Below are 13,651 nucleotides of genomic sequence, written 5' to 3' on the forward strand. Positions count from 1 at the left end.
AGTTGAAATGTCCTACAAATGTAAATTGGGATGACTTAGTATGAAAAAATACTTTATGTCTTTTATATTGATTACCTGTTGAAATAATGCTTTGGGTATATTTGGTTAAATAAATATATTAAATTTACTTAAATTTTTAAAACGTGGCTATTAGAAAACATTAAATTACATATATTTCTGGTGGGCAGCACTAACCTCAACCATGGTGTATCTTGTTTAAGAAGAGCAGTCACATCACTTAAGTTTTTTCTTCTTAACCACCAAAAGGAAAAATATATCCATGTCAGAGGACTCTCAACAAACTCCATGGCATTTTTAGGGTACAATCTTACTTTGCCTCTTATTAATCCTTTGAGCATTTTCTTTATTTTCCCTATAGGATAATAAGTATCTTGATTACACTGAGGGATTTATTTATTTTTATGCTTTCTGCAAATTATGCAGTTAATATATATGTCTTAAAATAATTGGCAAGTGTGCTACTTTAATGTGGTCTCAGATTAATAATTGAGTTTAGATGATCTATTATGTTTTTGTATTTTTTTTCTAACTTTAGTAACCTTTGACTTTAGTAACCTTTTACTTTAGTAAAAGTACATGAAGCCCTTTAGAATCTTAATTAGATCTATTGCTGTATCATCAAAAAATGTTTTCTTCCTTCCAAAATTTGGTTAACATCTGTAGACATAGACTGAACCAAATATTTGTTTTAGGATATAAAGATTAAGAATGCAGATTCATGGAAAAGTTTAGGCAAACCAGTGAAACCATCAGGTGTAATGAAATCCTCAGATGAGCTCTTCAACCAATTTAGAAAAGCAGCCATAGAAAAGGAAGTAAAAGCTCGGACACAGGAACTCATACGGAAGCATTTGGAACAAAATACAAAGGAACTAAAAGCATCTCAAGAAAATCAGAGGTCTGTAATTTACTGGATTAAAGGAGGGTTTGGGAGATATAGAATGTATTTTAAATACATTAAATTTCTTATTTGTTAAGTGACTATGATTCAACTGTTTAGTAGAACACAGAGCAAATTGTAATTGCAAAAAGTACATTTGATACTTTTTCTAAGTGATGATATCTCTTTTGAAGACAAATAATCAAGGGATTAAGCTACTAAAGATACTAATTACTAAATTATATAGTCATTATTTTACAGAAATGTCTTAAAGTTTTTCTGGTCTATGTGTTAGAAGATAGTGGTTCATCTTGGCCACAGTTTTCCAAAACCATTTATTTGTTAATATGGATTAGCCTATGTGTAATTTGATGCATCAAAAATAAAGCTTAAAATAATGTTATAACATGAACATGGTTGTCTTAATATATGGCTTTATATTTGTCATTTAATAACATTTTTGTAATACTTTTAAGGAACTTGAAACCTACTTTGAGCTATACTTTTTTTCTTTAAGGGATCTTGGGAATGGATTGACTGTAGAATCTTTTTCAAATAAAATACAAAACAAGTGCTCTGGAGAAGAGCAGAAAGAACATCAGCAGTCATCAGAAGCTCAAGATAAATCCAAACTCTGGCTTCTCAAAGACCGTGATTTAGCAAGGCAGAAAGAACAAGAGAGGAGGAGGAGAGAAGCAGTAAGTGAATTTTAGTTTACTAAATCTAATTTAACAAGGGAAAGATTTAACAGAGCACTGTCTTTTGTATGTTCAAGGATGCATTTGGGGTAATTTTTCAGTGACAGTGGACTTACCTCTTTAGTGAGGATCAGGTTCTAAAATTAAAGCTTAAAATAAAAAAATTCATAGCCAAAGGAGGCAATGCAATAATAGAGTATTGATCCTGGAAGTACTAGACTACCTGAGTTAAAATGATGATTTTGGAGGCGGGAGGATCTTTTGAGGCCAGGAGTTAGAGGCTGCAGGGAGCTATGATCACACCACTACACTCCAGTGTGGGTGACAGAGCAACATGGTGCTCTCAAACAAACAAAAAAAGATGGTCTGCCTATTTACTAGACTCTTAGACCTCGGCAATTATCTAACTCCCTAAAGTGGGAATAATAATACCTATTGTGAAGGTGAAATGAATGAGCATGTATTAAGCACATAGGAAAATGCCTAGCACTAGGTGAAGTGATTTATCACTTACTATTGTTACTGTTTAAAAATCTGTAAACCACCTATGAATTGTGGCCAGAAGATGTGCCATCTGTTCCTGGTCAGCATTTCTTCGGTTGACTGCTAGATTAAGAAGCTGACTTTCACTTAGGAGTCCTAATATGCAGAAAATAATATTTTAAAAGCTACAGTTGATTCCTTCTTTTATTCATGGATTATTTCAGAAGTGTTTAGTTTCCAGATATTTGGGAATTTTCTGATTCTAGTGATTTCTGTTAGTGATTTCTAATTTAATTCCATTGTGGTCGTACACATATCTGACTGAATTGTTTGAAATTTATTGAGACTTATTTTATGGCCTGGCTTATGGTCTACTTTGGTAAATATTCTGTGTGCACATGAAGAATGTGTATTTTATTGCTGTTGGATAGGGTGTTAATCAGGCCAAGTTGGTTTATCTTCTTGTTCATTATGAAATGATCTTTACTTCTGGTAAGAATTACTCTGAAAATTACACTGAAATTTAAAATAGGCACTTCACCTTTTTATGACTAGCGTTGGCACAGTAAAATTCTTTCCATCGTTTTACTTTTAACCTATCTTGTGTTTTTTTTTTAATTATTTAAAGTGAGTTTCTTGTAGGCAACATGTAATGGGAGCTTGCTTTTGTTTGTTTGTTTGTTTGTTTGTTTGTTTTTATCGAGATGAAGTTTCGCTTTTGTTGCCCAAGCTGGAGTGCAGTGGTGTGATCTCGGCTCACTGCAACCTCCACCTCCTGGGTTCAAGCGATTCTTCTGCCTCAGCGTCCCCAGTAGCTGGGATTACAGGCGCACGCCACCATGCCTGGCTAATGTTTTGTATTTTTAATAGAAATGGGGTTTCACCATGTTAGGCAGGCTGGTCTCAAACTCCTGACCTTAGGCAATCGCCTGCCTCGGCCTCCCAAAGTGCTGGGATTACAGATGTGAGCCACCATGCCCAGCCTGTTTTTTATTTTTATTTTTATTTTATTTTATTTTTTTGAGACAGAATTTTGCTCTTGTCGCCCAGGCTGGAGTGCAGTAGTGCAATCTTGGCTCACTGCGACCTCTGCCTCCTGGGTTCAAGCGATTCTCATGCCTCAGCCTCCCGAGTAGCTGGGATTACAGGCCCGTGCCACCACACCCAGCTAATTTTTTGTATTTTTAGTAGAGACAGGGTTTCACCATGTTGCCAAGGCTGGTCTCGGACTCCTGAGCTCAGGCAATCCACCCACCTTGGCCTCCCAAAGTGTTAGGATGACAGGCATTAGCCAAAGATCTCTGCCTTTTAATCACATGTTTAGACTAGTTACATTCAGTATAATCATTGACATTGTTAAGTTTGAGTTCATCATCTTGATAATTGTTTTCTGTTCCTGTCTTTCTTCTCTCTCTCTTTTTTTTTCTGCCCGTTTTTGTATTAAGCTTTTTTGTTGTTAACTTTTGTTTTAGGTTCTGGGGTACATGTGAAGGTTTGTTACATAGGTAAACTGGTGTAACGGGGGTTCGTTGTACAGATTATTTCTTCACCCAGGTATTAAGCCCAGTATCCAATAGTTACCTTTTCTGCTCCTCTCCGTCCTCCCAACCTCCACCCTCAAGTAGACCCCAGTGTCTGCTGTTTCCTTCTTTGTGTTCCTAAGTTCATATCATTCAGCTCCCACTTATAGGTGAGAACATGCAGTATTTGATTTTCTGTTCCTGCATTTGTTTGCTGAGGATAATAGCCTCCAGTTCCATCCATGTTCCTGCAAGACATGATCTCCTTCTTTATGTCTACAGAGCATTTTTTTAGTCCACTTCATCTCCTTCATTGACATAGTCAGTAACTCTTTGTTTTCCTATTTTAGTGGTTGCTTACGGTTTACAATATACAGCTTTAACTTAATCGCAGTCTGCTTTCAATTTACGTTATACCACCTCATGTTTAGTGTAAGAGCTTTACAACAGTTACTTCCATTCCTCCCCGTCAGCCTTATGCTATTGCTTAAATACTGATAATATCTCTTAAATTGTTTTAAATAAAGAATCTTATATTTACATATGCAGTTACCATTTCCTGTGCTTTTCATTCCTTTATTTATTTATTTATTTATTCATTCATTCATTCATTCATTCATTCGTTTATTTTTGAGGTGGAGTTTCGCTCTTGTCGCCCAGCCTGGAATGCAATGGTGCAATCTCAGCTCACTGCAACCTCCACCTCCCTGGTTCAAGTGATTCTCCTGCCTCAGCCTCCCAAGTAGCTGGGATTCCAGGCACCCACCACCACGCCTGGTAAATTTTTGTATTTTTAGTAGAGCCAAGGTTTCGCCATGTTGGCCAGGCTAGTCTCGAACTCCTAACCTCAGGTGATCCACCCACCTCGGCCTCCCAAAGTGCTGGGATTATAGGCATGAGCCACCGTGCCTGGCCCATTTCTTTGTTTAGATCCAGATATCCAAATAGTGTAATTTTCCTTTTGCATAAAGGACTTCCTTTGAACATTTCTTATAGTCTGGGTCCGCTGGCAATAGTTCTTTCCACTTTTGTGCATCTGAAAATGCCTTTATTTGGCCTTTTTTTTCCATTCATAGACTTTTATTTTTTAGAGCAGTCTTACATTTGTAGCAAAACCAAGCTGAAAATACAGAGTTCCTACGTGCCATACCCCTCTATATATATGCCCTCCCCCACCATCAATGTCAATACATCATTGTCAGCCTTAGTATAATCAAGTAAAGTCTATAGTTTACATTAGGATTCATTCTTCGTGTTGTACTTTTTATGGATTTTGACAAATGTGTAATGATATACATCAGCCATTATAGTTCCTTACGGAATAGTTTTCCTGCCCTGAAAGTCTCCTGTGGCCCACCTATTCATCCCTCCTCACAACCCTGGCAACCACTGATCTTTTTACTGTCTCCACAGGTTTATCTTGTCCAGAATGTCATATAGTTGGGATCATGCCCTATGCAGCCTTTTCAGATTGTTGTCTTTCACTTAGCAATGTGCGTTTAAGGTTCCTCTCTATCTTTCTATGGCTTGATAGCTGAATTTTAAAAAATTAATTATCTTAATTGACAATTATATATATTTATGGTATACAATTATGTTTTGAAATATGTGTACATTGTGGAATGGCTACATCAAACTAACATGTATCACCTCACCTTTTGTGGTGAGAACACTTGAAATCTATTCTTTAGTAATTTTTTAGTATATAATACATTGTTTTTAACTATAGTCTCCATGTTGTATATTAAATCTCTTGGAATTCCTACTGTCTAACTGAAAGTTTGTATTCCTTGAATAATATTTCCTATCTCTACCCCCAACCTCTCCCCATATCCTAATAAACTACCATTTCATTCTCTGCTTCTATGGGTTCAACTTTTTAAGACCCCACAGATAAGTGAGATCATGCAGTATTTGTCTTTCTGTGCCTGGCTTATTTCACTTAATATAATGTCCTCTGGATTCACCTATGTTGTTGAAAATGATGGGGTTTTCTTTTTAAAGATTGAATAGTGTTCCATTATATATATATAACATTTCTTCTATTCAGCCATTGATGGACATTTAGGTTGATTTCATGTCTTGGCTATCACAATAGGTCATTTCTTTTTAGCACATTATATGAATATACCACAGTTTAGTTATTACTTACCTATTGAAGGACATCTTGGTTGCCTCCAACGTATGGCAATTAAGAATAAAGCTGCCATAAACATTTGTTTGCAGGTTTTTCAACTTGCCACTTTTTTTTTTTTTTTTTTTCTCTTGACACAGTCTCACTCTGTTGCCCAGGCTGGAGTGCAGCGCCATGATCATGGCTCACTGCAGGCTTGACCTCCCAGGCTCAAGCGATCCTCCTACCCCAACCCCCCAGTAGCTGGGACCACAGGCATGCACCACCACACCCAGCTAATTTTTTTATTTTTTATTTTATTTATTTATTTTTTTTGTAGAGACAAAGTCTCACTGTGTGGCCCAGGGTAGTCTCGAACTCCTGAGCTCAAGCAGTCTGCCTGCCTCTGCCTCCCAGAGTGCTAGAATTACAGGTGTGAGCCACTGTGCCTGGCCCTGCCTTCAATTTTGAAAGACACTTTTGCTGAATTTAGAACTCTAGAGCTTTAATGTTTTTTCTTTTAGCACTTTAAAGGTACTTGTTCACTGTCTCATTGATTCCATTGTTTCCACTGAGAAATCCAGTACTATTATCTTTGGTCTTCTGTATATAGTATGTTTTTCCTCTACTTGCCTTTAACATTTGTATTGATCACTGGGTTTCAGCAATTGTTTTCTTCATGTTTCTTGTGATTTGTTGAGCTTATTCAAGTTGTGTGTTTTCATCAAGCTTGGAAAAATTTTGGCCATTATTTATTCAAATAATATCCCACCTCACTCCCTTGTGAGGACTCCAATTATTTATGTATTAGACCATTTAAAGTTGCCTCATAGCTCACTAATGCTCTTTTAATTTTTTTTTTTTTTTTTTTTTTGAGACTGAATCTCACTCTGTTGCTCAGGCTGCAGTGCAGTGGCGTGATCTCGGCTCACTGCAACCTCTGCCTCCTCCCAGGTTCAAGTGATTCTCATGGTGCAGCCTCTTGAGTAGCTAGGACTGCAGGCACGTGCCACCATGCCCAGCTAATTTTGTTTTTGTTTTTATTTTTTTAGTAGAGACAGGGTTTCCCCATGTTGGCCAGGGCTAGTCTCAAACTCCTGTCCTTAAGGGATCTGCCTGCCTCTGCCTCCCAAAGTGTTAGGATTACAGGCATGAGCCACCTGCACCTGGGCTGTTCTTTTAATTTTTTTAAAATTATTTTTTCCCTTTGAATTTCATTTTGGATAAATTCACCAGTCTTTTCTTCAGTGTCTGATCTTCTGTTAACCCCCAGTGTATTAATTTTCATCCCAGACATTGTAGATGTGAGATTTGGGTTTATTAAAAATGTGTGTGGTTTTTTTTATCTCTATTAAACTGCTGAAAAAATGGAATACAGTTAAAATAACTGTTTTAATGTGCTTCTCTGCTAATTCCAATATGTATGTCAGTTCTGGGTCAGTTTCAATTGATTGGTTAGTCTCTTCTTTGTGAATAGTGTTTTTCTGCTTCTTTGCATAACTAATAATCATAAATACCAGGTGTCGTGAATGTTACCTTGTTGGGTGCTAGATTTTTTTTTTTTTTCCCAGCAATCTCAGTCACATAGAACTGGATATTTTTGTAATCCTAGGAAAAACGTGTAAATTCATAGGACATATAAGAACATTAGTTTGAGAAGAGAACAGCCATTGGCTTTAGCTATAGTATTGGTTAAAGTACAAATTAATTTTCTAGGGAATAACAAAAGTTCTGTCAGCCACGTATTTTATAATACTAAGGTAGAAACAAATTGCATTTAATAGTGCTGTACATTTAACATATGGTGAAGTTTACTTTAGAGCAGTGTGATCTTAGTGGAACTTTCTACAATGATAGAAATATGCTTTATCCATTCAAACATACTAGCAAATAGCCACATAGGGCTGTTGAGCACGGGAAATGTAGCTAATGCAACTAAGGAACTGAATTTTAAACTTTAATTTTAATGAACTCAATTTTAAATAGAAACTTTTTGGTATTGTCTTTTTGGAGGTTTTTAGGAACTCATTGTTAAATTTCGTTAGTAGTTGACCTAAAGTCTTTCTTTTTTTTTTCCTGAGATGTAGTCTGTGGGATTACAGGCGTGAGCTACCACGCCCAGCCGACCTAAAGTCTTTCTGTAGTGATGTAAAATGTTTCCTGTTGGCACTCACACGGGCCTGACTTAAGTCACCCCCAAGTGATTTCACTGCACCCTAGTTGCGGCCCAACAACACAACTAGGTAACCTGATAAATTTCCCAATATCCTAAGCACTTTTCTGGAACATGACTAGACTAGGAACCCACTGAAAGCTGACTAATGATGTTACATCTAGCAGCTTGATAACTAACAACCCGACCTTGGATCTATTTGCTATCATTTTTGACAGCCCAGCCTCTTGCTGCCAGTCGAAAGAGCCATACTCTATAAAGCAATAATAACTTGACACTTAGCAGAGTTCCCAAACGTTTACCTCATGCCAGTTACCTTGACCAAACTTTTGATCTTAAATTTGAACAGTTGAAGAGTGTATTTAGGACCACACAGTAAGGAATAGCCAGCTTATGGTGTCAGCTATGGGGAGCATTAGTATTAAAAATCATGGTATTGGCTGGGTACAGTGGCTCACGCCTATAATCTTAACACTTTGAGAGGCCGAGGCAGGCAGATAACTGGAAGTTAGGAGTTCGAGACCAACATGGTGAAACCCCATCTCTACTAAAAATACAAAAATTAGCCAGCCATGGTGGCGCACCTGTAATCCCAGCTACTTAGGAGGCTGAGGCAGAAGAATCATTTGAATCGGGAGGCAGAGGTTACAGTGAGCCGAGATCACGCCACTGCACTCCAGCCTGGGCAACAAGAGCAAAACTCCATCTAGAAAAAAAAAAAAAAAATCATGGTATCTAAGGTTAATTGGTACAGAGAATACCAGTTCTCTATCGATAATTGTTCCACATGCACAGATTTTAGTCAAGATGTAAGAGAATCTAAAATAAGCCAATACACACAACCTTTAAATAAAAACAGGTTTCATTACATATTCTACAAATTTTGCAGTATGTCTGGATACTTATAGCAGTATCACATGATATTTAAACTAGGACAACGTATCCAATGCCTATATTGGAGGCTTAGAATAGAACTTAAAGGAAAAATCTGTGCTAGACATTTGGCATCCTAGAAACTGGGTGTTAAGAATGTAGTCTGGGGCCGGGTGCAATGGCTCATGCCTGTAATCCCAACACTTTGGGAGGCCAAGGCAGGTGGATCACTTGAGGTCAGGAGTTCGAGACCAGCCTGGCCAACATAGTGAAACCCCATCTCTACTAAAACTACAAGATTAGTTGGGCTTGGTGGTACGCACCTGTAGCCCCAGCTACTTGGGAGGCTAAGATATGAGAATCACCTGAGCCTGCGAGGCAGAGGTTGCAGTGAGCTGAGGTCATGCCACTGCACTCCAGCCTGGGCGACAGATTGAGACTCTGTCACAAGAAAAAAAAAAAAGAATGTAGTTCATGCCAGTTGCAGCAGCTTGCGCCTTGTAATCCCAGCACTTTGGGAGGCTGAGGCAGGTGGATCACTTGAGGTCAGGAGTTCGACGCCAGCCTGGCCAATGTGGCAAAATTGTCTCTACTAAAAATGCAAAAATTACCTGGGCATGGCGGTGCACATCTGTAATCCCAGCTCCTTGGGAGGCTGAGGAAAGAGAATCACTTGAACCCAGGAGGCGGAGGTTGCAGTGAGCTGAGATCACGCCACTGCACTCCAGCCTGGGTGACAAAACGACACAATGTTTCAAAAAAAAAAAAAAAGATTAAAAAAAATGTAGTCTAGATTAAGATTTAAGAAGTATTTTTTTGTCTCTAAGGCAGATTTAAAGAAATTTATATGGTTTGTAAGAGTCAGACATACCTTTCAAATACTTTCAGTAGGTAAATCACAATTCCAAATATTTTCCCACATAGCTAATGAGAATGCTAATTCCCATTCAAGAAGCCAACCAACTGATTGCAAATTGGTGCTTTTACCTACCACTCTGGTCTGTTGCTGTTTATTGATTTATTTTTTAAAAATAATTTTGTGAACTTTAATATTTGGTGTCATCTCAGATGCTAAAGAATATCTATAAGGGCAGTTAGAAAAGGCTTCAGAATATAGTTGACATTTGTTTCCTTTGTCTTAATTAGCTTTTTCTCTACTTTGGCTTATTTTTTAAACAGCTTTTTCGTGATTAATATGGCATTTTGCTGAATGTTACATGTAATCTGATTCTTCATAAATGCCTATACATAGAATAGACTAGGTTACACAGTTAGTAAGTGGCAGAATCAAGGAAAGCCCATAGTTTTAGCATTACATATTATAGTTATCTCACATAACAAAGATATTGGTTCATTCAGAAAGTAATTTTGTGTGTCTGGCATTATGCTGGGTTTAGAAGTAAGACAGTGTGCTCTCAGCGTTCATGTTCTTATTCATACCCACTCTGTCAACATTGAACTTTCTCTTTTACTTGTAGGGAGGGGTCAAACTTATTCTTAGTGTTCTTGTAGGTTTTGTTTTTTATTTATTACATGAACAATATATTAACAAATCAGGTAATATTTGAACAGAAATAATTATGTACAAATTTATTGTTCAACCTGAGAAAATAAAAATTAAAAAATTATTGAATAGTTTTCTTTTGTATGATTTGTTCCTAAATGTTGCATAATCATTATTGTATAGTTGTAGTAAAGACATACATTTTTAAAGTAATATTAAAATTTTCTGCTTTTTCTACAGATGGTGGGTACCATTGATATGACCCTTCAAAGTGACATTATGACAATGTTTGAAAACAACTTTGATTAAAACTCAGTTTTTAAATTAACCATCAACTTAAAATGAATGGTAAAAGATCAAAATGCATATGGTAAAATGATTGCTTTCAGATAACAAGATACCAATCTTATATTGTATTTTGACTGCTCTAAAATGATTAAACAGTTTTCACTTACATTTTTAATAGCTATATGCTTATTTTTTAAACGACATAATTCAAAGGAAATTTAATAATTTTGGATCCCTAAAAATTGGACAAATTCCCAGATATTCGTTCATTCTATAAATAATTGTCTATATATTATAGGCCCTGTACTAAGCAATGAAAATCCAAAAGATAGCTCCTGCTTGTTTAAAAATGAAGAGTATGTTTTCTAATTCAATAAGTGAAAAATAATGAAGAATATATGAAAGTGTATAAAAAACATAGTTCCTGTTGAGTTTTTAACTTTTAAAACAAATATTCGTCTGCCTTCAAAAATATTTAGATTCTAACAAATAATACTTGGTTTCACTGAATGTCAGATTTCATAAGATTCTCAGCTGGTTCTATATTAAAAATTTATATTGAAATGTAGTTTTAAAGAAATATTGGCTGGAACTGCCAGTTGTGGTGGCTCATAACTATAATCCCAGCACTTTGGGAGACCAAGGTGGGCAGATTTCTTGAGCTCAGGAATTTGGGCCTGGGAAACAGGGTGAAACCTTGTCTCTACAAAAAATACAAAAAATCAGCTGGGTGTGGTGGTGCGCACCCGTGGTCCCAGCTACTTGGGAAGCTGAGGTGGGAAGATCACTTGAGCCCAGGAGGCAGAGGTTGCAGTGAGCTGAAATCACACCACTGCACTTCAGCCTGGGTGATAGAGTGAGACCCCTGCCTCTACAAAAAAAAAAAAACAAAAAAACAAATGAGGCATGGTGGCGCACTCCATGTAGTCCCAGCTACATAGAGGGCTGAAGCAGGAGGCTCATTTGAGCCCACGAGGTCAAGGCTGCAGTGAGCTGTGTTTGTGCCACTTCACTCCAGCCTAAGCAACAGAATGAGACCCTGTCTCAAAAAAAGAAAAAAAAAAAACAAGAAATATTGCCGATGGTTTGAAAGATGTTGAATTTGAGTCAAAATAACTAAAATATTTATTTGTAATATTTAATAGTGAATATTATGTATGTAAGTTTCTATATAAACTTATGAGATTTCTTAATATGCATATGTGATAGTAATGAATGTTTAAAATATTTAAACAACAATAAGACTTATTTAAATATTCTGTAAAATATTTCTCTTTTGTTATTTTCAAGTTGCAATTATGTGTAAATCATGTGTATCAGCTTAATGTATTTTAAAATTTTGAACTCTGGAAGTGTAACATGATTCAGGCAGTGTTCTGATACCATCTAAAGTAAAAATTCAAAGTGTATGTTTATTATAGAGAAAGAGAAAAAGTTATCTTGACTTCACTTATTTTTATAATTAATATGATAAATTTTTGACATATCTTTAAATTATCAGGCATGTGAAAAACATGATTAAGTAGTAACTAAATGGTGATGTGACCTTCATGACACAGCCAGAATTAAAGTGACAGGGTGGCTCACGCCTGTAACCCCAGCACTTTGGGAGGCTGAGACAGGCAGATTGCTTGAGCTCAGGAATTCAAGACCAGCCTGGGTAACATGTTGAGACTCTGTCTCTACAAAAATAATACAAAAATTAGTGGGGCATGGTGGCACGCACCTGTAGTCTCAGCTACTGGCAGTTGGTGGGCGGGGGGGGTGGGTCTCTTGAGCCTGGGAGGTCAAGACTGCAGTGAGCCAAGATCATGCCACTGCACTCCAGCCTGGGCAATGAGAGTGAGACCCTGTCTAAATAAATACATAAATAAATAAAGTGATAGTGTATTCTTATCCAACTATACCTCTTTTAATTAAGAAATCAGTTTGTGCTAAACAGTACAGATTGTCCTATGATTATATATATATATAAAATTTTATTTACATAATATAAAAGATTATAGAGAGCTATGTTTGGTTATTCTGTTTAACTGACTTGGCACTTAACCTCTTCTTAGGCTATAAGGGGCCTGGCACATTGCAGATAATCAACAAACTTTTAGTGGGTTAAAGTCAGTTTAGCAAATAAAAGTCAATACCATTAGTTTATAACCAATGCTTCCTATGTTATACATTATTTTTAGTAAAAGATTGGCTTCTCTTAACATCATGCATATAACTGTCTTCAACAAAAGCCTGATTTTGTGAAGACTCCGTTTCTGGCCCCATCTCACACCTGCTCCAACTCCTAGAACCTTTTTTTATTGTGTTTTCTAGAATCCGTGATAAGTCATCAATGATGTTCTCTACATAGTGAATCCTTTTGCTTTTTTCTTTCTTTTGTTCTGAGTTGTTCTGAATGTGTAGTCCCTGGACCACACAGCAATGCTTGGGAACTTTTTAGAAATGCAGATTCTCAGACTTAAGTCTTACTAAATCGGAAACTCTGGGTGTGGGGTCCAGCAATCTATAGTTGAACTAACCATCTAGGTCATTCTTGTACACACTGAAGTTTGAGATTCCCCTGCTCTCACAGAACTCTGGCTGTCTCCTGCAGCCTCTCATTTGGTGCTTGCTCTTGTGGTTTTTCTTATCTTTGTAGTGCTGCTTGTAGACCATTCTCTTTCTCACCTCCCTCCTCCCTAAAAACTTCCGTCTTAAAATTTTTCGTGATCATCAGACTATACCACCCATTGTCATTTACCATTCCTGGTTCACTCTTGTTCTCAGAGATTTTAGTCTCTACCTCACCGTCACTCTCCAAATGATACTTCTCAGTCCTTTGACCTCTCTGCTAATGATCTGGAGTAGCAAGATCAGCCTCAGCCACTCACTCCTTTGTCATTACTGATAACAAAAACCCTTAATCTCAGTTTCAAGCATCCTATTCTCTCACTACTTTCTCCTATCTTTTTTCTAGCATACTCCTTATAGGTCCTTGATGCCAACAATCCTTAGACCTCATGAAGACCTACAATCCATTAATCCTAGTGTTTTCGCAGCTCCTCTCCTTTCATGCCCTCACTTCTGTGCTTATCCTAAGTTTTTAGTACATT

General features: G+C 36.9%; 1 protein-coding gene across 16 annotated transcripts in view; it reads left to right on the forward strand.

Moving 5' to 3' along the window:
- The window catches only part of BRDT (bromodomain testis associated), a 65,058-nt gene extending 54,330 nt beyond the window's left edge, over nucleotides 1–10,728 (forward strand). For 15 of the 16 annotated variants that reach the window (NM_001242810.2, NM_001242805.2, NM_001242806.2 and 12 more), the window contains 3 exons: nucleotides 714–919; nucleotides 1,419–1,599; nucleotides 10,506–10,728. In NM_001242810.2, coding sequence (NP_001229739.2) covers nucleotides 714–919; nucleotides 1,419–1,599; nucleotides 10,506–10,574 — 456 coding nt within the window. In that variant the 3' untranslated portion in view covers nucleotides 10,575–10,728. The remainder of the gene's footprint in view (nucleotides 1–713; nucleotides 920–1,418; nucleotides 1,600–10,505) is intronic. The other variant, NM_207189.4, reaches the window with a different exon arrangement.
- The last annotated feature ends 2,923 nt before the right edge of the window (nucleotides 10,729–13,651 follow it).

The sequence above is a fragment of the Homo sapiens genome, chromosome 1 (genome assembly GCF_000001405.40).
Source record: "Homo sapiens chromosome 1, GRCh38.p14 Primary Assembly".
In the NCBI taxonomy this organism is placed as follows: domain Eukaryota; kingdom Metazoa; phylum Chordata; class Mammalia; order Primates; family Hominidae; genus Homo; species Homo sapiens.